This window comes from Homo sapiens, chromosome 2 (genome assembly GCF_000001405.40).
Source record: "Homo sapiens chromosome 2, GRCh38.p14 Primary Assembly".
NCBI classification, from domain to species: domain Eukaryota; kingdom Metazoa; phylum Chordata; class Mammalia; order Primates; family Hominidae; genus Homo; species Homo sapiens.
The window spans coordinates 220,775,778-220,801,825 of record NC_000002.12 but is presented as its reverse complement, the minus strand read 5'-3'; the positions used below and the strand labels follow the sequence as shown (position 1 = coordinate 220,801,825).

At 38.9% G+C, this 26,048-nt stretch overlaps 1 long non-coding RNA gene across 5 annotated transcripts in view, besides 1 other annotated feature; it reads right to left on the bottom strand.

Moving 5' to 3' along the window:
* LOC105373896 (uncharacterized) overlaps nt 1-26,048 on the bottom strand; it is an 86,007-nt gene that overhangs the window by 24,466 nt on the left and 35,493 nt on the right. For 2 of the 5 annotated variants that reach the window (XR_001739891.1, XR_001739893.1), the window contains exon 3: nt 24,964-25,083. This is a non-coding gene — a long non-coding RNA (uncharacterized LOC105373896). The other 3 variants (XR_001739890.2, XR_001739892.1, XR_001739894.1) reach the window with 3 other exon arrangements.
* Nucleotides 19,544-20,085: an enhancer, noted in NCBI's record as "NANOG hESC enhancer chr2:221646461-221647002 (GRCh37/hg19 assembly coordinates)". NCBI's record gives its function as "activates a minimal SCP1, AML or CMV promoter by ChIP-STARR-seq in primed H9 embryonic stem cells {active_cell/tissue: H9 hESC(primed)}" and the evidence as "EXISTENCE:reporter gene assay evidence [ECO:0000049][PMID:30033119]".

Genomic DNA, 26,048 nt, shown 5'->3' with positions numbered 1-26,048 from the left:
CTGGGTGACAGAGTGAGACTCTGTCTCAAAAAAAAAAAAAAGTGTGTGGTACCTGGCTCACTCACTCTTGCTCATGATATGCCTGTTCCCACTTCACCTTCTGCCATTATTTTATACCCCTTGAGGTCTCCCCAGAAGCAGATGCCATTATGCTTCCTATATAGCCTGCAGAACTGTGAGCCAATTAAACCTCTTTTCTCTACAAATTACCTAGTTTCAGGTATTTCTTTATAGCAATGCAAGAACAGCCTAATACACCACCTAAAAACCATTATGTTTGGTTTTCCTTAAAGTGATTCCCCCCATGGATTCTCTCACATTCTCTTCATAAATCCATGAACTCCTAGAGAATCCTTGAGGTAGAGTCTCGCCTGCCTACAATCAGTTCAGTAATTTAAAGGTGATACTGAGGGAAGGTAGGAAGAGGTTGGATGTGCGCATGAACTTCCAAAAACTTTGCTGTTGTGCTGGAAGATAACCTGAAGATCCTGGAGATGTACAAAGAAGGAACTCAGACATGCTGCCCCTTCAACACAGGCAGCAATAGATAAATGGGTTGGTTTATTGATTCCAAGTCTGGGGGTTGTTTGGGGCATTAGCAACATGAATAGGGTTGTGTAGAAATCAGCCAAGGGCAGAGCCCAGGAGAAATGGAGATCTTCTTTCAAACACTGAGGATGAAACATCAACCAGACCATCTTATCTCCAAGATGATGGAAAAGATCTTAGGACTGATTGCCAGAAGTAGTAAAATCTAGAAAGGAAAGCCAGTATTGACCTAAAGATGGGATTCTCTAAGAAAGGAGGGACTTAGAAAGGATCAGAAAGCTCAGAACGCATCCTGGCATAAAATTAGGGGATGTACTGGATGGAGGAAAGGCCCCATCTCAGAAACTTTACGGGAGTTACCAGAAAGCCATGATGGATTAAGAAAGAAGTTAATTCTCACAGGTTTCACAAATGAACCCAATCCAAAATAGACATCAATCTAACATGCCAAAAGGTTGGGGATGGAAATCAGAAAATGGTCATCACTGGCCACGAATTTCTAAGTTGCTGGAAATAAAGATCTTAATAATCACCATGTTGGTCACATGGCTTTGGATTCATTAAGAAAACCATAAATCCAGTTCTGGGGCCTAGAAAACAAATTCCTCAAGAATCAAGGGTGGGATGGACGATGAATGCCATTGCACGCATAATATAAGCATTTTCACCATGCAGCAACGAGGAGCAACTTTGTGGTTTCCAGTAATTTTCAAACTCCCCCAATTGATAACTTGCTGATTGGCTGCCACCCAAATGCCTGTCCATACCAGAAAGCAATATTAGGGATGAGAAAAATAAAGGAATATTAGGCAAAGAAACTTTTAGCATTTAGAGGAACAAGAAATGTGAATAAGCTGTCTCCAATCTCCTGAAATTCATTTTTTTTTTTTCTGAAGATAGATATTCCTTAGTAGTAAGGAGTGTGTGTGTGTGTGTGTGTGTGTGTGTGTGTGTGTGTGTAGGGTTTTTGGTTAGTTTTATTTTACTGTGCTATAGATATTTAAAACATTACTCAGAGAATTCTGAGTACTTTTTTAATGGTAGGACTCAAAAATACTGGCAGGCACAAACTTACCTCATTTTCTAGGAAATCTTTTAGTGTTCAAGCCTTCTTTCATGTTTTTAAAATCATACTAAAGAATTTCAAGCAGGCCGGGCGCAGTGGCTCACGCCTGTAATCCCAGCACTTTGGGAGCCCTAGGTGAGTGGATCACCTGAGGTCAGGACCTCAAGACCAGCCTGGCCAACATGGTGAAACCCGTCTCTACTAAAAATACAAAAATTAGCCGGGTGTGGTGGCACACGCATGTAGTCCCAGCTACTTGGGAGGCTGAGACAGGAGAAACAGTTGAACCTGGGAGGCGGAGGTTGCACTGAGCCGAGATTGTGCCACTGCACTCCAGCCTGGGTGAAAGAGTGAGACTCCATCTCAAAAAGAAAAAAAAAGAGAATTTCAAGGAGACTTAAGTTACAGTAAAAGACAATTTATAGCATTTGACTGTTTCACACACACACACACACACACACACACACACACACACCCTTCTCTGCTTTTATAATTTCCGTTGCAAAGAAATTAAAGAGATTTGGCAGAGACCCCAAATATATCTAGGTGGTGATCTATTAAATTTATGCCCAGATGAAAATGTATAAAATCATATTTTGCAAATTGAAATTTTATTAGGCCATTTTAATGTTTTTTTCTTTCATCTTTCTCAAATCTAGCATCTTTCTTTCAATGATTCTTCTAACACTGTATGTGGAAATGCTACTCACAGATCTGACAGACTATGGCTCCCAATTTACACAAATAGATTTATTGCAAAAAAGATACAGCCTATGGGGATCATGTAAAAAAATGCTGTCCTTTGAAGACTGGTTTTAATGTTTCATTAATAATCCATTTAAAAATTTTTGCATAGAGACAGCTAATGTTCTCCCTCACGTTCTGCCTGTTATCTGAGATCCCATATATATGTATATAAGGCTGCTTTTAGGTATTATATGGACTGGGTTAAATAGACCTGATTCAATTAAGAAATGTCTTGGAGGTATAAATGAACACATGATTGAACAGGCAAGCAACCGCACAGGCACTGCATAGGAAATGCCCCTACCTCACACCTTTATTTCAGTGCACTCCTTCATTAACGCTGTGATGACCCATTTCTAATGCTTGGCTGTAGCCAGAAATGAGAAGCATATTCGCCAGCCTTGTAAAGCCAAAAATGAATAACAATAATTTAAAAAACCTGGCCATGATGATCTTTCACTTAAAATAAATACTAGCAAAAGAAGTGCTTTCCTTTAAAATATCCAAAGAAGGTATTTATTCACCCAGCATTTATCAAAATGACAAACAATGTAAAGAGACTCTTTTTAAGATGTGTATTACTGGGACAACACTCTGATTTAGTGTGGCCTCTGGGGTTTAGGAATCGGCCTTGTTAACAAATGCCCCCAGGTGACTCTGATCCAGGTAATCTTTGATTACCGGTTTGAGAAATCCCATCTTCTTAAATGCTTCAAGAGGGAAAGTTATGTTAGCTTTCAGGCTTAATTTTCTAGAATATTTTCTTGCTTTTTAGACATCAGCCTAGTTCAATTACTCCACAAAGATAGAACTCCATGGAAACTTACCCCAAAATAAATGAAAATGAAGGACAGAGTATAAAATATTTTTTTTGGAAAATTATGCCCAGTTTTCTTTTGGTCTGCCATCTGATATCTTTTAGATCTCATTCTTTTTTAAGATCTCCAAATTAGCATTTCTTTAAAATATTTCAAAGCATTTGATTTAAGGGAGTTCTCTGCGATAAAATTTTTTTAATGCTTTTATTGTTTTCAAGTGTTAGAGAACCTGAAAATAACTTTGATTCTACAGAAATGTTCTAAATTTATTTCTATTTTTCCACATTCATTAGCAGGTGATCTCTGCAAAAGCTCATGAGAAAGGAAATACTTATGCTAATGTTTGTATATTATACTGAACACAATAACGTTTACATGCTTACATTTCCACTGTATTTTTGAGCAAATATATGAAAAAATAACAATTGTAATGATAGTAGAATGGTAGTGGCAATAATTAATATTTTTGGAGCAACTACTGCATTCAAGGCATGGTGTTAATTACTTTATATGCACTGTCTAAGGTATTTGTCTTACCAAACTCATAAGGAAGGTACAGCTTTATTTTAACTTATGGGGAGAAAACTAAGGCTTACAGAAGTTAAGTAACTTGCCCATGGTCATGGAGATTGTAAATGATGCAGCAGGGACATGAACCCTCAGGCCACCTGCCTCAAATGCCCTTGCTTTTAACCACTCTGTGGTCCATGGGTCAGCAGTAAAATAATCGTCAATGCAGTTAAACTCTGGTACTGTATTTACAGTATTAAACAAAATGCCTTCAGCTGCTAAAGCCTGCTAGCTACAGTTCAGGATTTTCATGCCACCCTAACATTGATCACTCATGCAACATCCCAAATGACATTTTAGAAACTGTTGCACATAGTTATCCTTAATAAATATATTTCCGAAATTTTTTATGAGCAAACTATTTAACCAGTGGGGATGAGGCAAATCTCTCTCTTGCTTGGCTTCTCCTTACTAGCTCAGGTGCCTCCTAGTTGACAACACTGAGGTCATTGCCTTGGAACAGAAAGACAATTTGTGGAAGAGGCAGTCACTGGGATGGCTTCACATTCTCCACCCCAAATAAATCTCTTCCTCTTTCTTCAAGCTGAGTAGTGAAGGCAAAGTCCTCTCGTTTCATACTGGAGGCAAATCTTAAAATTCAAACACTGAAGAGTCCTAAAATAAAAAGACTTAATTAAGGAACCATCAGATCCTCCCTAGGAATAGGCTTCAATATGTAGGAGTGAGCAGAATGTGACTGGATGGCAGCGGGGGAAAATTAGATGAAAGAGTATGGAAGCAGAACAACCTCACCTAGTTCACTATGTACCTAGGTAACCTTTGGTTGACCTCTCAGAGCATATTCAGGCATGTTACCTCCATAAAGGTATTCAAGACTTGTATAGTGTCAACTCTGTCCCTTGGGCTTTGTCAACTGTAAATGAAATTGACATGTGTTTCTATACAGCTTGTGTTTAGATGTTTCCTCAGTTTGGTAGGAGTGTTTTTTTAATCACAATATGAATGTCTTTTATGTAAGCTACAACTCAATTAATTCCTATTTCAATTAAGGATGAAGATGAGTTTGTCTTCTACTTCTTTTTTGTCAAATGACAACTATATAAGGAAGAAATACATTTTTCTTTCTACCCAGACTACTGGACTAGCAGAACATTTAAATTATCTTATCTCATTTTCCTAGTACCACTATCTTTCTCCTTCTAACAACCTCAATAGAATGTCTCTAACTGCTCTGTGCTAACTGTATCAGTTTTTCCTGAGTTGTTTGAAATTATTTTTAGAAATTTGGGTGGGTATATGTATATACACATGTGTTTGTATGTGTGTATATAATTTTCACATAAATGCAGTCAGGTGACAAGGCAAGTCCATGTGTAAAGTAAAATATGTGAGACAAATGGAAAATACTCAGTTATTTGGATAGATATGTGTCTAGAAGTTACCATGGAGATTTTCTGAATTCATTACAACATAATGGGCAAGCAGAGATTTAGGCTGGCATATGGATAGAGGCACTTATTAGCTAATAGGATTCCTTCATGTTTCTTCATTGTATCTAAGAACATGTACTATTTGGTATAATTTAGAATTTATAAATGATTGCCAAGTAATTGTTATTTCATATTTGTATATCAAAATGCAGTGGTGATGGTAATAATTTGAGGCAAATCTTTTAACTTTGTCCTTAACCATTACTTTCTCATCACTGGTTGTAATATGAATGATCAGAGTTTGTGAAGATGGTAATTTTTCTTGAAAGACTATAGTTTTATCAAGGCAACAATAAAGAAAAGGCTCTCTGTATGTCTGAAGATTTTTTCTCCCTTGTAGCTAATTTGTAACTTTCCTATTAAGCTGTGGCATTTTGTGCCTCAGAGAAGAATGAGAGTACTGATATTTGGATGGTTTCATTTTCTATCATTTCATACAAATTGAACTCATTTTCACCATCTCTGAAGAATATTCTTTTAATGTGTGTGTTATACTTTTACTTGTATCACAGTTCAAAAGAGATGCCTTTGGACCTACAGAGTAAGTCTAAAATACAGCCTTGTGTTCATTCTTATTATCACTGTGTGTTTGTAGGTGATTGGGTAGCTGGAGGGATACACAATTTGAGTAAGTTTTATTCACTACAATCTAACTAATTAAGGTTTAATCTTTTCAGTAATGTGATATGTGTGGCTAAGAATGACGTCAGTCTTGTCCTTGAAGACGGCTGTGCTATAATCTCTAGAACCCTGGATCTACTCTGAGATCTATTTCAATCCATAGCCGAGTTCTAGCCAAGAAGAGGTATTTCTAAAGCTGCTGATACAGGGGTTCCCACAAGATTGCAGCAGCCCATCTCTTGCTCATGACTTGGCTGAATTTCCTGTTGAACTGAGTATTGCTCATTCTTTCACAGGGTCATCTCTCTCCTCCAACTAGTACCATGGTCACTTATGCATCTGCCAATAGCTGAGGTCCTATTATTTTGCCATTTTTAATTCCCGCTGCTTGTTCAAACCTATCGAACATGCAGAGGCAGATGTTTTAGTCCGTTTGTGCTGCTATAACAAAATATCTAAGACTGGGTGATTTAGGAAGAACAGAAATCTATTTTCTCACAGTTGTAGAGACTGGGAAGTTCAAGATCAAGGTACTAGTAGGTTATCTGGTGAGAACTGCTCTCTGCTTTCAAGATGGCACCTTGTTCTTGCATCCTTCAGAGGGGAGGAATGCTGTGTCCTCACAAAGTGAAAGGCAGAAGGGTAAGCCAGCCCAGTTCTGTCCAAAGCCTCTTTCATAAAGGCCTTAATTCCATTAATAAGAGGAGGAGCCCTCATGACCTAATCACCTCTTAAAGGTCCCACTTCTTAATACCATTATACTGACCACTAAGTTTTAACACATGTATTTTGGAAGGGACATATTCAAACCATAGCAGAAGGTATGGTGGTAGAGATGGGGAATGAGTCAAAAGAGCACAAAACTCTTGAGCCAGAATTCAAACTATTTAATTTAAATTTCCAATGGCCACAAAAATTCTTTTTTCTCTTGCCCGTTTGCTTTGGGAAATGCATTTCCTTTCTCTCTGCCATTATCACAACACTCATCGCACACTCAAGTATGGATATGTTACCACAGTCAGTAGCAGAGTTCCTTGCTGATAGAAGGCAAGTTGAGATGCAACAAAAGAATTGGTGCCATTCTTAAAGGTTTGTGAAATAAGAGCCAAAGGGATTAATGTATATTGGCTAATGACATAAAATTCCAAGCATATCTATTCAATAAGGTCTAAATAAATATTGTTCAAGATCAAATCATTTGTTCAAAATGAAAGATTAAATTCATTTAAAAATCTATTCTTTAAGAAGTCATTATTTGAGAAAAACCTGCTAGACTAGAACGGGAATGTCACAGAGCTTCATAAAGTGTTATTTAAAAATGTACTAAAATATGTAACAACATGTATCTAGCAAAAGACATGAAGGCTCCATTTGGTTACAACTGTGTATGCAAATGTGTGTGTGTCTCTGTGTCAGATGTGATATGGGTAAGGGAAGGTGGTGAGAAAAACTACAGTTTTCTCCCCTAATCTTTGATATAAACTTCTATACTTCTATAAGGGAGGGCTTCTTATATATATAATTATTTGAAAATATGAACAGCATACTATAGGAGAAAGAACATAGGATTTAGAATCATAAGAGTTGGTTTCAAATTCTACCTACCTCTACCATTTCATAGGGATCTCATACCTTAAACTTTAGTCTTTTTGAAAGTGACAATAAAAACTGTGTCACAGGATTATAGTAAGGATCAGAAGAGATGATCTATGCATAAATCCCTAATAAATGTTCTTGTGCTTTTATTGTTACTATCATAAATATTGGTTGTTTTTATCATGAATATCACTTTGATTTTCTCAATCAGATTCTGATGGGTTGTAATGTTTTATGAAATTATGAATACATCTTTCTATGAAGAACTGCCCAAGACTGGGTAATTTATACAGGGAAGAGGTTTAATTAACTCACAGTTCCGCGTTGCTGGGGAGGCCTTAGGAAAAGTACAATCATGGCGGAAGGCAAAGGAGAAGCAGGCACCTTCTTCAAGGGCGGCAGGACAGAGTGAGTACATGCAGGGGAAATGCCAGATGCTTATAAAACCATCAGCTCTCGTGAGACTCATGCACTATCACCAGAACAGCATAGGGGAACCGCCCCCATGAGCCAATTACCTCCACCTGGTTCCACCCTTGACAAGTGGGGATTATAATTCAAGATGATATTTTGGGTGGGGACACAGCCAAATCATACCAACCCACTCCCCAACTCTACCTCCATGTCTTCTGCTGTGGTTTCAATGTGTCCCCTCCAAAATACATGTATACTTTTTCTCACCACCTTCCCTTACTGACATCACATCTGACATGAGATGCACATATATTTGCATAACAACTGTAGCCAAATGGAGCATGTATTAGTCCATTTTCATGCTGCTGATAAACCCAAGACTGGGTAATTTATAAAGAAAAAAGAGGTTTCAGGAACTCACAGTTCCACGTGGCTGGGGCTGCCTCACAATAATGGTGGAAGGCAAAAGGCATGTCTTATATGGCATCAGGCAAGAGAGTGTGAGAGCCAAGTGAAAGGGGAAACCCCTTATAAAACCATCAGATCTTGTGAGACTTATTCACTACCATGAGAACAGTATGAGGGAAACTGCCCCCATGATTCCATTTATCTCCCACCAGGTCCCTTCCACAACATGTGGGAATTATGGGAACTACAATTCAAGATGAGATTTGGGTGGGGACACAGCCAAACCATATCAGAGCCTTTATGTCTTTTGTTACGGTTACATGTTGTTACATATTTTAGTACATGTATTTTTTATAACCCTTTATGAAGTTCTGTGGCATTCCTATTCTAATCTAACAAGTATACATTTATATGTGTGTGTGTATATATATATATATATATATATATATATAAAATTTGATGTTGAGATATAAATGTTTATCATTAAAATTAGTTTGACCTTAGAAAGGAGCTTATCATCTTTTTAATATTGAAAGGGAGAAATAAAGGCTTGTAGGGAAAGAAGGGAGGAAATAGGGAAAATGAAGAAAAGAAACAGGAAGGAAGGAAGCGACTGGTTAACCATATGCCAATACAAGGTGCAGGAGACTTTTAAATATGTTCTCAACAATCTGAAAGGTCATAATTTTATCTCTTGTGACTTGAAGAATCTAAAATTAAGAAAGGTCATCTGCCCATGTCAAAGCCTAAATTAAGCTCCATCTGGCTCATCCCAGATGTCCTATTTGTCTTCGTGTCCCTGCAGTAGCTAGCACACTGGGGACAGTAAGTAAAAACACAAGGGAATTAAGAGCTCTTTGAAGGAAAGGAGGAAGTCAAGCTTTCCTCTTTACCCCCAGGATATTATATAAAATGTTGAAGGAACTTCACCAAGTCCTCTCCCATATTACACTTCAGACATTTTAAGATAATAAAATAGAAGGCTTTCATCCCTGGGGGTTTTCAATGGTTGATTTTCCATTTCACCTTCCTTTCTAACCCCCTTCATCTCCTCATTCTGCAATCAACTTTTAACTTAGGTGGCTTCAAGTAACAGGTAGTGGTTGCTAGGATACTGTCACCAGCCTCAGAAATCCTGAATATGAACAGCAAATTTATTTCTATAGCTCTCATTTTTAGCCATTTTAGCATGTTGTGTTATATCAATATATGAAACACATGAGTCTACATTACTTAATTCAAAGTGAGGCACCTTACATACATTGTTAGGTATAAAAATTTATATATAGGTTATATATAGGTGGCCGGGCACAGTGACTCACGATTGTAATCCCAGCACTTTGGGAGGCTGAGGCAGGTGGATCACAAGGTCAGGAGATCGAGACCATCCTGGCTAACATGGTGAAAGCCCATCTCTACTAAAAATACAAAAAATTAGCTGGGCGTGGTGGCGTGCACCTGTAGCCCCAGCTACTAGGGAGGCTGAGGCAGGAGAATCACTTGAACCTGGGAGGCAGAGGTTGCAGTGAGCCGAGATGACGCCACTGCACTCCAGCCTGGGCAACAAAGCGAGACTCTGTCTCAAAAAAAAAAAAAAAAAAAAAAAAAAAATATATATATATATATATATATATACACACACATATATATGTAATGAAGTTCCAAATGGTCTTATTCTGTGTATCTCCAAAGGCACTCATTGTTAGAGTCTGGGAGTGAAGCAACAGATGGATGAGATGCATTCATACTTATAAAAATGAGGCTGAGAGGAAGTTCAGGGGACAAACTTAACCTTTCAATGAATAAGTTAGAGGAGGAAAAATTTTGCTCCTTAGGGGAGACAATATATTATAATGCCCTGGGGATATTGATTGGATATCAGTGGTGACAGTATAGTCTAAATTCACTATGTTCATGGAGGTTGGTGGTAGTGAGGTAATACTACATTTAAAAAGTAAGTAAAAATAACAACAACACTAACGTGGAGTCATGGAAGACAACTGCAAGACTGTAATCTTCATAGGGAGAGACTGTATCTGCATGTCTACCACTATATCCCCAGTGTCATGCATTGGACCAAAGCCTTAGAAAGTGCTCATTGCTATCTGATGAATGAATGAGTGCATGGATAAAAGCTGAGAAGCAATAGCATGATTTTATCCATGATGGAAAGAGATTCCTTCCCCAAATCAGGACAGCAACTTCCTGAGGGTTATGCAACTAGAACCACACCAAGAAAGGAAATACCAACATTCAGAAAGGCAGTCAAGGGGTGATAGAAAGACACTAAGCATGCTCAATATGTAGCAGCTGGAGAGCCATATGGGGGCAAAGAGGAAAATGATAATGGCTCTCCAAGAACATATGCAAAGCCTCAAAAGAATTCTATCATCACAAGAAAGGGACCTGGGGCTAGGGTCCAGAATTACCTTGATGGGGCCCAAGGCCTATGGCTCTTCCTAGGGAGAAGTATAAACACCGTATCGTTCATCTTTTAGGCTTGTGTGTCCTGGGAAACAAGTACATACATGTTTAATTCAGTTAAAAATTACTTCCAATTGGCAGATGTTAGGATATTAGCTTCAGCACAGAAAAGTGGTATTAAAATATTCACTAAATACATCAATATGTTAAACCGTCTGTGGGCTTTAAAACTGTATTGTGTATTCCATTATGGAAATATGCATGCGATATGTTAGGTGAAGAAAGTAAAAACACAAAACCGCGTGCACACACTGTGTTTACAGCTATGTTAAAATGTACAGTTATAGGATTTTAGGGAGAGAGACCAGATGATCATTGATAGAGATGCAAATATTTGGTATTTTAGTGTTTACTGAATATTTTTCCTGTAAATTTCTCTGTAGTAAACTTCATTATGTAGAAAGAGGTTGTTCCATCTAATCAGTCATAGCATGCATTAAATGATATTTCCAGATGGGGATGGACTGTCTGTCACTCCCACTCTAACACAGAAGGACCATAATGTAGGTCATACAGCCTATAATGGGGTTCTGCAGGACTCTATCACTGAAAATAAAATGATTTGCCAGCAGGCGTACAGACTGAGGAAAACAACATTAATAAACTTTAAAATGAGTTTCCCTAGATGAGTTTTATTGTCTTCCTATTTAGGTTATATTAAGTCAGCTGTCAACCAGACACTGAAGTTCAATTTACCAACATTATTAATTAGGTAGACCATTTCATAATAATATTTTCTTGCATTTCATTCAGGTCTCAGTGAATTTCACATTGTTCTCCTGCTGGTCATTTTGTTCTTAATAAAAGAATGAAGAAAGCTCCAGAGCTTCTAGTCCGGAAAGAAAATGAAAGGGGTACAATAGAAATACAATTAGCAGTGATACTTTCCATATTTCATCACTTTTCTGTAAACAAATGTGTTGTTAGCTGGCCAGTCTACAAGTGCATGAGTCACATGAGGAGCAGCATTACTGAAATCCTTTATGGCAAATAAAAACCAACTCTTGTCTTGCAAAGACTCCTTCAGAAGCCTCACACATTCAAGGTCTTACAACATTTTTTATCCCTTCCCTACCTCTTGGCCCCATAGTCTTGAACACCCCTCTCATCTTTATCCCCCTCAGGGGATTCAGAGTGAAGAGAAGAATTTTGGAAGAATTTTAGGAATTGGGTCAATGGAGTTTGTGTCTAGAAACTTCATGTTTTGACATACTGAGGGTATCTATACTTTTGACAGATATTTTCTACCTGAGATTTAGTGGACAAGAGAGCGTAACAATTTTTTTTTTTTGAGACGGAGTCTCACTCTGTCGCCCAGGCTGGAGCACAGTGGTGTGATCTCAGCTCACTGCAACATCTGCCTCCTGGGTTCAAGAGATTCTCCTGCTTCAGCCTCCTGAGTAGCTGGGACTACAGGTACACATCAACATGCTCAGCTAATTTTTGTATTTTTAGTAGAGACAGAGTTTCACCATGTTGGTGAGGTTGGTCTCGATCTCTTGACCTTGTGATCTGCTGAGAGCGTAACAATTTATAGACACTTGACACTGTTAGATTCAGCTTCACTCATAAGTTGTCTGACCAACCATTTTGGACAAGAGACTCTGAGTCTGGAACACAAAAACAAGATAAAGAGGAGAGGTCCCGTCTTCTTTTTTTTTCTCATGATCGAAGATGTGCATGGGGGTTGGCGGTTGAGGAGTGGTCAGAGAGGTGTCAAAGGAAGAGTGGAGGTAGAGAGGAATACTGGGAAATCTCAGCTCAGGATGATTAGTGTCACTTGATCTCAGAATACCCGTCTTTCAGTAGGGCATAGGTTGGTGACATGGTTTGAGTCTGTGTTCCCACTCAAGTCTCATCTCAAATTGTAATCCCCATGTGTCGAGGGAGGAACCTGGTGGGAGAGAGGCGATTAGGGTGGTTTCCACCATGCTGTTCTCGTGATACTGAGGGAGTTCTCATGAGATCTGATGGTTTAAAAATGGCAGTTTTGCCCACATCTCTCTCTCTTGTGCCACCAGGTAAGACATGCCTTTCTTCCCCTTCACCTTCTGCCATGATTGTAGGTTTCCTGAGGCCTCTCTAGCCATGCAGAACTGTGAGTAAATTAAATGTCTTCTGTTTTTGTAAATTACCCAATCTCAGGTGGTATCTTTACAGCAGTGTGAAAACGGACTAAGGCTGGGAAAATGCAAATTAAGTCAAAGTTGTCCTCAGCCCAACCCCCTGTGACTCCAGGGCAACTGTAAGTCCTGCTTCAAGAGGAATCACATCCAACTTGACATTTTAAAATCCTTTCTGTTTTGGCAAGAATTAGAAAGTTTTATGGGCTCACTCCAAAGTCATAGCCCTACAATTTTTACTTCTTCCAAGGCTTTGGGGGGACCCTCTCCAAAGAATAACTCTACTCATTGAACTCTCTCACTAAACATTCAGTCCTCCAAACTTTTGCTTGGTGTTTTCAAGTTTATCTCATTAAATGACTGCATTGCTGATGCCTGAGCCACCTGCCACTGTGGATCCGACCCAGCTTTATTACCACTTCACAAGTGTCATATCAAGAGAACTCTCCAGCCCTCTCAGCAGACTGATCAAATCATGTGATACAAGTTTCCAGGCTGGCCTTCTTTATGGCTGTGTGGGGGAAAAGATTATTCAAGAATTGCCTGAGGAGTTCAAACTGTTCACAAGCCATTACCAAGGGATGAGGGCCCCATAAAGAACTGTAAAAAGGAAATCCCATTGTTATAACAGAAGGCCAGTGTTGCATCTTATTGGCTACCCCCATCCAATGCATTCAGGCCTGATTAGCAAAGAGGCTTTGGCTAGGAGGTACAGTGCCTTGGAATTGATTTTGCAATTAAACAACCTTGGCAGTACTCAGCACAGCACGTGCCTGATTATTTAGGCTCAGTTCAAGTGAAATTACCAAAACCATGATCAATAATCCATATTGGACTTATGTTGGACCACTGAGGAGAAAATACTTTTCAATTTTGACAGATTTCCTCAAAATAGCTTGCAGTGTTCACTGTTTTTCTTCAAACCTTCTTCCATCTGCAGCCATCACAGCTCTGTGGCAAAGACTACATTCACCTCCACTGAGTTTAGGGAATTAGTTACCAAAATTCTTATCCAATCTGTCTCATCATCATATCTCACTGTCCACAGACACATGGTGTAGCTACATTCATGGAGCATCACACCAAGGAACCTATCTAATTTTACAAACAACTCTTTCCTCACTCCACCTCCAATGTCCCTACTTTTTTACAACTCTACTCTCCACCTTAACCAGATGATCCCTAGTATGGGTCTTCATGTTCCCTACTGTATCTTCAATCCAAGTTTCACAGCTTCAAAAGCAAATATGTATATATCAAAAGCAAATATGTATACATCAAAAGCAAATGCTTTGACATAAAATAACATTAAGAAATTCTTATAATTTCAATGTTTTTATTATTATTCTATTACACTTACCTCCAATTTGTTGTCAGAGGGTTTAACTTAAATTCACAGTCACTTTGTAAAGTTGTAACATTTTTCTATGGCTGATAAAAGAGAAGCCTTTGAGTTGTGGTTATTATTATTTTCCTTTATGTAGCTTACAAGCTATGACAAATTGGTAAAGACTGTCTGGATTGCTGAGACATGAAGAATTCAGAGGACATTTCCAATCTGGGAGAAATAATTCCAGGAAAGACTGTGATGTCTATTGTTGGCTCAAAGGGAGAACTTTGAGTATACATGCCACATATTTACCATTTTTACCTTAAATTTCTCACAAATATTTAGTTTTAAATGTTTTATTCAATAATACAATATTATTACAAGAATCTAGATGAGAAGTGAGCAAACTATAACCTGTGGGCCAATTCCAGACACTCTATGTTTTTGTAAATAAAATTTTATTGAATGTAGTCAATCACATTTATTTGCATGTTAGCAATGTTGAATGTTGAAAAGTTGTGATAGAGAGTGTAGAGCCCACAAAGTGTAAAATATTTGCTATCTGGACCTTCACAAAAAAAATTCTACCTCCTGATCTAGATCTAACCTCAACATACTGCTTGATTTCTTTCTCCATAGACCTAATAGTTTAGGCCACTTAATTCGTTGTTGCTGGTTCAACCCCACTTGGTCTTTGTTCAAATGAACTTAATTAAAAAGCTCAGGTATCTGAGCATCAGTTTAACTTCATGACCTAAGGAGACCTTATCTCCTACACTGTAATAATGGGTAGCTGTCCATTTTCTGTAACTCGGTTGCCGTTTGGTATTCTAGTTCCTACAAGTGTGGAGAATTAACAGATGTCCCCCACCACACACACTGCCCTTCTATTTCGATCTTTCAGATCCCCGTCGCCTATCTGAAATCCAAAAGGCCATCCTTCACAATTATAATGATTACCAACTACTCCTGCATATAAAATCACCTCAAAACCCTATGGTTTCAAACAACAATCAACAATTAGAATTCATGTGTCCGTGGGGCAGCTACTTTGGACTGGGCTTATTATAAGTCTGTGGGTCAACCAGGGACTCTGCTTCAGGCTGAACTTTTGCTGGTGCAGTTTAATTGGGCAGCTCTGCTCCACCTTTCTTTCATCGTCCTCCTGCTAAAGGATAGGCTACTCCAGGCACATTCTTGTCCTGGCGATGTTCTAAGTCCAAAAGGGAAAGCTCAACCGCACAAATGATTTTCAAGTCTCTGCTTGCTCATGTCTGCTAACATTACCCCAAACAAGCACGAGGCCAAGCCCAGAGTCAAGGGGTAGAAACAAAGCCCTATTTGTAGATGGATGTCTACAAAGTTACATGGCAAAGGGCACAGAAAGAAACCATTAATGCAATTCACAAATATACTCTCAGAAGAATCCAATAACCTGTCTGTCAGGTGACCATCTCTAATATCTCTATCAAACTGATCCAGAGCTAAACAAAACCATCAGCATATATAGTATAGGAAACAAAGGCAGGGTGCCATGCCAACTCTCTTGATGTCAAATTCCAAAGCATGCATGAGAATAGGGAGAAAAAAGAATTACATCTTAACCTAAATTCCAGCATCAGCAATACTATTCTGAAACACACGAGTCTTTTAGAAGCTGCTCTTCCATGTGAAGCCCACCTGCCCAGAAGTAAGAGCCACACCCTTATCTCACAGTACATATAAGTGGGATGATGACAGTAAGCCATCTGGTAGAGTGGGTGATACCGCATCAATAGATGCAGTCAAAAACTGCTAGGTTTTGTGAATTTTTATCTTGAGATAATTGTAGATTCACATGCAGTGTAAGATATAATATATAGAGAGACTGTATACTCCTCACCCACTTTCCCCTAATGGTAAACTCTTTTAACATTGCAGTATAATATCACAACCAGAACACTGACATTGACACAATTCACCAACCTTATTCAGATTTTACTAGTTTTATGTGCATTCTCGTATGTGTGTGTGTATTTTTATGCGTTTTTATCACACGTGTAGCTCTGTGTAACCATTACCATGATTAAGATGGCGAGATTCGTAACAGTTCCATCAAGCATCTATTTTTTACTAGTTGAAGGTCAGTGAATTCTGTATAGGAGCCCAGAATCCCCTTCATTGTAGGATTTTTCAATAGTCTCAAACATTTGGTTCATGTCATGCAGTCATAGCCTCTGTCAGACACAGGATATTTGTCTCTTTTTAAACAGGTAATTGCCTGTTAAATGAGTCACGTAACTACTCTCCTCTCAAGTGACCATGGAGTGCTTATTCAGTGTGTATCCTCTTACAAATCTAATAAGAGCTGTGTAAAATGAATTAAAAAGTGTTTCACTGAAATGCTATCTCAAAGAAACCCAGCTCTGTCCATTATATTTGAAGCCGTGAAAGAATCTGAAACACATTGATGAGTGAGACCCATTTAGATATTTTCTAAAATGAGATTGCTTCAGATTTGCTATTACTGATCTCATCAGAAATGATTCTTTGGCCATACTTGTTGTCTTGGCTCTGAAAGGCCAATTAATGAATTTCTAAAACAAATGACTTGGATCCTGGATTCTTACAGAGATTTCATAAATGAAAGATGTGACAGTGAGCTTTAAAAGCACAGAATTTCACAGAACTCATTACCAGGGAAGGTGCTATGTGTCTTTCCTCAGACTCTCCTTCTGATTTTTCTTTTTTTTTTGAGACAGAGTCTTGCTCTGTTGGACCGGAGTGAAGTGGTGCGATCTTGGCTCACTGCAGCCTCCACCTCCTGGGTTCAAGTGATTCTCCTGACTCAGCCTCCCAAGTAGCTGGGAATGCAGGAGTGCGCCATCACACCCAGCTGATTTTTGTATTTTTAGTAGAGACAGGGTTTCACCATGTTGGCCAGGATGGTCTCGATCTCTAGACCTCGTGATCTACCCGCCTCAGCCTCCCAAAGTGCTGGGATTACAGGTGTGAGCCACCGTGCCCAGCCTCTCCTTCTGATTTTTGTGTGTAAAGATGCCAGAACAATGTGGTCTTGACAAGAAGCATTTATGAATCTGAAGCTGTATGCCCATCTAACATGTGTTGTATCAGGACTTAGAGGAATGTACAAAACCCACAACTCCATACAATGCAGCCTACTGTGCTGGATATAATCATAGAATAGTAAATCCTGGAGGACTTTCTATTCAAGGGGTTTACAATATTTTTAACATTAGAACTTTCTGCTAAAATGTATCCTTTTAAAATACATTTTAAAGGTTATACATGGACATAGTCCAAAGAATCAAAGAGTTCTACAAGACTTGACTTGGTGTAAAAAGTAGCAGTCTGACTTAGAATTAAACATTCTTGAGTTGGCTAAGTCCCCAGTTTCTCATTTCTTTTTGCTCTTGTATTGTTCTTCGCTCTCTTGGCCTGTCTCTTAGTCTGTTCTCTTATGCCTTATATTACAAAATCGAACAATCAAACCTTTCTTGTCATTTCTGCAAGGTTCTGGAAAGAAGTAGAAAAATAATTATGTTTATACTGCTATCATTTACCAAAAAGCAAATGTAACCTTCTGAATCCCTAAATCCCAAAGACTCTCCTTATCAGGCATTCATCTCATCCCTTCAGAAGCCACTTGAGTCATCTCTTACCAAAGTTTTAAAAGCTCCTTGAAGTATTGGTTGAAAAAAATAATATAGTCATCTAATCTCAGCTTCATTTTGTAGATAAGCAAACTAAGACGCAAGTAAAATAAGAGTAGACAGATTTATACTGTGAACCACACCTTCTCTTCTTACCAGGTGTCTTTCTATCATACCACATTGCCTTCACTTAAGGCAGAAAACAATGAAATTACTGGAAACATTATGACAGTGGTCTAGACAATCTAGCCATTCATCACTTATTCTTTCATTCAACAAATTTGAACACCTGCTCTGCACCAGGGGTTATTATATTTGGCACTGAAGACAAAGTAACAAATATAACAAGCATGATCTTTTCTTTACTCAGGTCTACATTTAAAGATGCAGAGGTCACTATCTGGGAGTTTGCAGGCTAGATTTGGCTAGCAGATGTGCTTTATTTTGCCTATCCATCATTTTATAAAAAATAAAAATAAATTTATTGCCAATATTCGTAAGTTGAGAATATCATATTAAAGGCAATCTGGAAATCTGTCTTCTCTTGAAGAATGATAATGATCTGGAAAGACCGGGCCTTTAGTTTCTACTTGACATTAGTGTGAGATGTAGCAGTCCCTTTAGACTGAGCATGCTCCCCTCGTGTAGCCCAGATCCCACCAGTACATTTCCTTCCTTTATATTATCTGCCTTGCCCCTGTAGAAACTAGAATTTGTCACTTTTTTTCTAGTGGTTTTCAAATCCTTCTCTGTGGAATCAGGAGTTCCAATGAGGGCCTCAGCTGGTCAGATACAGAAGGGGTTCTGTTTTGAGAGCCCCCAGCTAAATGGAGGTGACCAACAACCCTCCCCTAACAGAAAACGAAGGGACCTGGACATGAGTGTGGAAGTATGCCTTTCACGGAATACTTTTGGACCTGGTGGAGAGCCTAATGCCTCATTTTTCAACCCATGAAAGGAGGTCCCTCACACGGGAAACTTGTTTATACTGGAAGATGCCCTTGTAGCTCTTGTATGACCCGTGTGCAACTGCCTGACCATTGCTCTGGCAATAAGGACTGTCCCAGTCACGTGATGCAGGAATGAAGAGTCAGAGAGAGAGAGTGAGTGAGTGCACAGATTGTGGCAACTAGCAGTATATATAAGGGAATAGGATGCATGTCACTTTAAGTTCATGGGCAAAGATTAGGTTGGTGCAAAAGTAATTGCGTTTTTTTTTTTTTTTTTTTTGCACCAATTGAAAAATAAACACCTGAATGGTCCCTTTAAAGGAAGTTTCTGGGAAACAAGATGAAAGAGATGCCTCTAAGTTTTTATCTCTGGCTATAGGCTTGAGCCATCTGGGTGTAGTGTAGAACTGGAAACTGTGAAGGGTGACTGAGCCCTTATGGCATGAAAAAGCTAAACTTGTATTGAAAATAGATGTCCCAGCACTTTGGGAGGCTGAGGTGTGTGGATCATGAGGTCAGGAGTTCAAGACCAGCCTGGCCAAGATGGTGAAACCCTGTCTCTACAAAAAATAGAAAAATTAGCTGGGCGTCTATAATCCCAGCTACTCAGGAGGCTTAGGTAGGAGAATCGCTTGAACCTGGGAGGCAGATGTTGCAGTGAGCGGAGATCGTGCCACTGCATCCAGTCTGGGTGACAGAGCAAGACTCCATCAAAAAAAAAAAAAAAAGAAAGAAAGAGAAAGAAAGAAAGAAAGAAAGAAAGAAAGGAAGAAAGAAAGAAAGAAAGAAAGAAAGAAAGAAAGAAAGAAAGAAAGAAAGAAAGAAAGAAAGAAAGAGAAAGAAAGAAAGAAAATAGATGTCAAGGCAACATAAAATTATAAGAATTCACTAGAGGTTCCTAACTCAGGTCTAATGGATTGTAACAGAAAGGCCCTGCTAGGCTCTTCCTATTTTACATATTAGGCATCCATTTAAGGATTCTCTTTCACTACTGTATTCTGCTGAGGGGAAAAACAATTGAGTCCTGCTGTCTTGTAAGTGTTTTAGTAGGTAGTGTCAACGGTAATTGCTGTAGAGATAGGAAAGAAACCAAACTCCAGTCAGTATTTGATTCAGGCTTTAAGGAGGGAATAGGGCCAGAACTAACCCAAGGGTAGGCCTGATAGAAGGCAAACATTTAAGACGGAGAAAAATAACCTTCGTCTTTACTAAGCAGCAAAAGGAACCAGCTGCTCTTCTCAGAAGGAAATGTGATACAAACATAGGCTACCTCGTGTAGTGTCAAATATGTTAATAATGTATACAGAAATGGTTTCTAATCGTGAAGATATTTTTCAAAGCATGAGAACAAGAAGATTAAGAAAAACCCACAAATTGAACTTATCATTGTCAGCTAGATAGGTGGACTCTCAAATACTTTTTCCAAATAACTGTTCTGTTTATACATAAACACAATAAAATGGGAGCTCATTTTCTAAGGAGTTTGGTGAAAGGGTGTGTGTATCTGGAGAAGGGATTATGACTTTATTTAAATGAAACACACACACTCAATAAAGATCAAGGAAGATGTGGCTGATTTTAATTGAGATAAATTGTACCTAGTGCACTCTCACTACTAGTACACAGCCACTCCTGTTCAAAGAAATACAATATAATTTGTATTTTTATATTCTAGAAAATCAGGCTTCTCAAATATTTTAAAGATGAGGAGCCACTTAGTTGAATATTGCATTAAAATGTAAATATTATTTTCCAGCTTTTCTACTTTTAGCATTTAAATTGCCAGGTCTCACATAGAGACAATTGCTTATCCCATTATAAGCTTGATTTTTAAATACTGAGATCTGTCTACGTGGCAGTTTGTCTTTTTAATTCTTTTCTTCATTACTTCCAGGGCATAGCATAGAATTATAAAAGGTTTTAAATCACTGCTAACTCAAAAAGTCCATAATCACAAGACATCTTCTTCTACCTCTTCTACCTATGTAGCAATAGAAAAACACACTGAGGTTCTTTTTCATGGATTCACATATTTTTACAGTAATATCTGCACGTTAAAATTTACAGAAAGTTCACATGGAGGTGCTCACTTGAAACTACAAACTTCCAAGCTAAAAAGAGTATCTTCATTTAAAAAATGTCAAAACTAATTTTTCCAGGGACTAAATGACTTGTCCAAGGTTGTATGGATCTCAGAGAGACCTGGGTTCATTTGTTGGCTCTGATTTGGGGCCCTAACTTCCCTCAAGTGTTAAATAGGTACTGAGAGTGTAGCAACCACATAGGGGTGTTAAAAAGACAAAATGAGATAAATTAAGGAAAGGCTTAGCATAGAAATGGTACCTAGCAGGGGCTTAATAAATGCTCCTTACAAGTAGTAAAAGGATTTCAACTTGATTACCAAGCACTGCGTCTAATTGCCTCTCCTGCTTCCTATCCTTTGATGTTGCAAACGTGTTAAAGAATCCGGGAATGTGTTCAGATTGAACATGGCCCAAAATTGCAGTCACTCATGCCTTGTGGCTTACTGAGTTAGCCAGGGAAGTGATGGTGACAAACCAGAGCTACAGGATCGTTGGGGCACATATTCGGGTTGACTTCACGCAAGTTCTTCAAAACTTTGTTCATTTGCGAGGAAACATAGAATAATAAAAACACAGATTACAGGCTCATAAACGGTCGTCTTACAAAAATCCACTGCATGTTTGAGTTCCTTCAACACTAATTCTGGTGGTTGTGCATTTTGTGTATGGTCCCTTCCAGAGATGGGAAGCTCCTGCTCCCTGGGCAGTTCACTCCCACACAGATGGTTCTGACAATGGAAAGACACTCATTAAATGGGAGGAAATTCTATCACAAAGTCCACTTGTGCTGGTTGGAATAAATTAAATTCCTCTTTCTAAAGACATTCTTTCGAAATGTGAAAACAGTTCCACTGACTCATTGTTGAATGATAGCCAAGTAATTCAACAATTTCTCTTTAGACTTGGAAAAAGAAGAGCCTCACATTCCTGGCCAGTTTTCTCTGAATGCCGACTAGTGTATCCTTATCATTTGTTTAATATAATTTTAACTTTTACTTTAGAATAAGGGGGGTACATGTGCAAGTTTGTTACAAAGGTATATTGTATGATGCTGAGGTTTGGGATATAACTGAACCTGTCAGCCAGGTAGTGAGCATAGTACCCAATAGTTTTTACACCCTTGCTCCCTCCCTCCCTTCCCACTCCAGTAGTCCCCAGTGTCATTGTTGCCATCATTATGTCCATGAGTACCCAATATTTAGCTCACACTTATAAGTGAAAACATGTGATATTTGGTTTTCTATTCCTGGGTCAATTTGTTTAAGATAATGGCCTCCAGATGCATCTGGTTTGCTGCAAAAAAACATGATTTTGTTCTTTTTTATGGCTGCATATATTCCACAGTGTATATGACTTTTTTTTAATCCAGTCTACTACTGATGAGCACCGAGGTTGATTCCATGTCTCTGCTATTGTGAATAGTGCTGCAATGAACATATGAGTGCATGTGTCTTTTGGTAAAATGTTTCATTTTCTTTTAAATATGTACCCAGTAATGAGATTGCTGGGTTGAATGGTAGTTCTTTTTAAAGTTCTCTGAGAAATCTCCAAACTACTTTCCACAGTAGCTGAACTAATTTACATTCCCACCAACAGTGTCTAAGCATTCCTTTTTCTCCATAGCCTCACCAGCATCTGTTGTTATTTGACTTTTTAATAATAGCCATTCTGACTGGTGTGAGATGGTATCTCATTGTGGTTTCAGTTTGCATTTTTCTCATTATTACTAACATAGGAAACATCATTCTGGATTATCAGCCCTGGGAAAGAATTTATAACTAAGTCCTCAAAAGCAATTGCAACAAAAACAAAAATTGACAAGTGGGACCTAATTAAACTAAAGAGCTTCTGCACAGCAAAAGGAGCTATCAACAGAATAAACAGTCTACAGGATGGGAGAAAATATTTGCAAACAATGCATCTGACAAAGGTCTAACATCCAGAATCTATAAGGAACTTGACAAGAATAAACAAATAGCCCCATGAAAAAGTGGACAAAAGACATGAACAGACACTTCTTCAAGGAAAAGACATACAAGTGATCAAGCTTGCTATTTTTTATAGTTCATGCTCCAAACGGAGAACAGACCCATTAGTGTGATATAAAGTACATCTTCTTTGTGCTTAGTTCTATGCTTTGATCAAGGCAGCCTGTTAGTGACTATTCTTGACTCCCATTATGCTTACATAAGGCAACTCACATGTGTAAGGCAACTGTCTTTCTCTTTTTTTGAAGTACTGGACAACACTCCTGGGTGACATCTCTAATCCTTTACTCACATGATGAAAATTGAGAGATATAAAGGATCATAGATACTAAGTAGTCCAAAGGTAGCAAACTAGCCCACAAACCCAGTTGATTTGGTATACACAGATTTGGCAAGCGTGATGTCTTAAAGACAAATTGAAGCCCATTTTCAAGAGCTGCATACATTGGCACCCTTAGCAGGGCAGTAAGACTTGTGATCCTGAATGACCACAATCACCCGGAGCTGTCTCTGCTATCTATTTAGACCAAGCATGCTTGTTCCAGGTGCTCACAACTGACCCCCTTCACTGACTTCCATTACCTGCCTGCTCCCTGAATGAGTTAGCAGATCCACAGCGGTTTCAAGGATATGCATCTGATTTCCCTCTACCTCCTCAACTTTTCTCTCATTCGCAGCCTGCCTTCACTTCTAGTTTCACTTACCTACCTAAAGGCGCTCTACAAGATCGCTGAAACTCCATCTATAAGTGCCGATGACTCTACATTTGGCCATTCTCTCAAACTCCAGAATAGTCCTTCCAGTTGTCCCTCTTTCCCCAGCCATTTCTGTGCTTGTCTTTTCTGTGTGTGTGTCTACCTTTCCACATTCGTGTCTTACCCAGCTCATCCAGAACAGTTCCTCTGGTTTCTGCTCTGTCCTGCCATCTGTGTCTGGACTTTGCTTTGTATATCTTCTCCTTCGTTGTCCAGAATGATCTAGTTTTGCCTCTGCCCTCGTCATTTCTGTGATTGTAGCTGTGCTCTGTATTTTCTCCCTTACAGGACAGAAGTTCCAACTTCCTTCTATTTTCCTCCATATCGCTCACACCCTCTTTCAATACTGGCTCCTGTTTCTGTTCTCTAACCCACTGGTTTTCAAGTGAGGTTCCCAGACCAGCATTAGCACCAGCTGGAAACTTGTTAAAACTACAAATCCTTGAGCCCCACCCCAGACTTACTGAATCGGAAACTCTAGGGATGGGGCTAAGCCATCTCAATATGATAAGCCTCCCCAACGATTTTGATTCCTGAGTTTGAGAATCACTGCGCTCCACCCCAGCAGTTCTCAGCTTTCCTTGACATCTGAATCTCCTGAGAAGGTTTTTAAAATACTCATGTCTGGGCACCACCCAAAAACAATTAACTCAATTTCTCTGGGGGTGGGCCCAATTAGGGATATAGTTGTAGAAGCTCTGCAGGTAATTCTAATGTAGAATCAGGGTTGCTTCTCGCCTGCCAAAATGTTTCCTTTTTGCAGCCTTGACTTGATCCCTCTGTCTGTAAAGCTCTGCCTCCGCTCCACAGGTCTTGTTTTCTCTTCATTGCCATCAACTAAGAAAAGCCTTCCCTGGCCATCTTAACTCTAAGCATCCTCCCCCCGCCAGACACTTTCTGTCACTTTATCCTGTATTATTGTCTTACTTGTACTAATCTCTAATATTTGAAAAATCATTCATTTACTTACTGGCTCTACTAGAAAATGAACTGCAGGGGACCAATGACTGTTCCTTTCAAGGCTGCATCCTAGCTCCCTAGAACAATGCCAGCACATGTAGCAGCTCGGGATATATTTGTTGCATGAAAGAACAAACAACACACACACAAACACCCCAACACCACATGCTGTTTATTCCAAACCCTGTGCTTTCAATGCTCTAGTTTTCTTTGCCTAAAATTTTGTTCTTTTCTTTGCATTATCTTTTATTTTATAATTAGCAGCATTCCCAAAAAGGTCTAGAACATTTGCTTCAATTCTTTATCCACAATAAATTCTTCGTTTCCTAACATCATGTATGATGTTGTAACTATTTAATGTTTCACTTCTTTAAAAAATGTGCAGTGGATACTCACCTCAGACGTGAGTGGCAGAAGCACATAGACCAAGCTTTAGGTCTCTTTCTGTTCGCTTCGTGGTGTGGATGAAATGTGCTGCTGGGGACACGGGGGTAGATACTTTCTGAAGTGAATTGACTTGAGGAAAGGAAAAAAGCTTTCAGTCAATAGTTTTAAATGCCAAGGGACCATTGAAGAGAGAGCAAGAATAAAAACAGATACAGGAAAGAGCATATCGTTCAATAGAGAGATTGAATCTTTAAAAAAAAAAAACAAGGGCTGGGGTGTCTAATGCATGTCCATGTATTGGGAATACCTTGGTGGCTGCTATTTCCAGTTGGTCCCTCTTACTATGCCAGCACTTTTGAAAACCTAGGTCTGGACAGAAATTCACCTGTAGCCCTTAGCCATCCCTTCCCTTTCTCTCTTAAACTGTATAGAAGACTGAAACTAGCATTCACATCAAGGAAAGCTGGAACACCACAGGCAGCCATTGATTGCAAGTAAGCTGCTACAGAAACTCCCCTTTTATGATGCTACATTATCTCTGTGAGAGCAATCAGAGCGATCAGCTGGAAATCCCTCAACACTGAGAAGGAACTGACTGGCTCACACACTGCTTCTCCTTGAAATAGCTTGCTGGGAGACCAGTAGGGCTCTTCAGCACAAATCAACATCCTAAGGGATTGATCTGTTCCTCCCTAGGAGGGAATGCCTGCTGACTGTGGCTGGACAAAGCCAGAGAGGGGACAAAGCCTTTAAATGATGATTAATACATTGGGATTAGGATACATTTGTCTTGTATCAGTCCGGGCAGTGTCTTCATTTTCATAACTTAGGATTCCTAATAAACCAGAGGTTAAATTACTTAGACATATTTACTCTTAGTCACACATTTTTATGCTTGAAGATCTAGGCTTGGCCTGACAAAGCTATGATGAGGCTTAAAACCATTTTACCTCTCTTCACTACAACTTCTTTCTACAATCTGGACATTCAGAGGGTTGCTTCCCTAAAATCAAGAATTGTAGATGCATAAGTGTCTTTATTTATCTTGGCTTTATTCATGTACCAGCTCTGCCCTCCACACCTTTAATTCACTC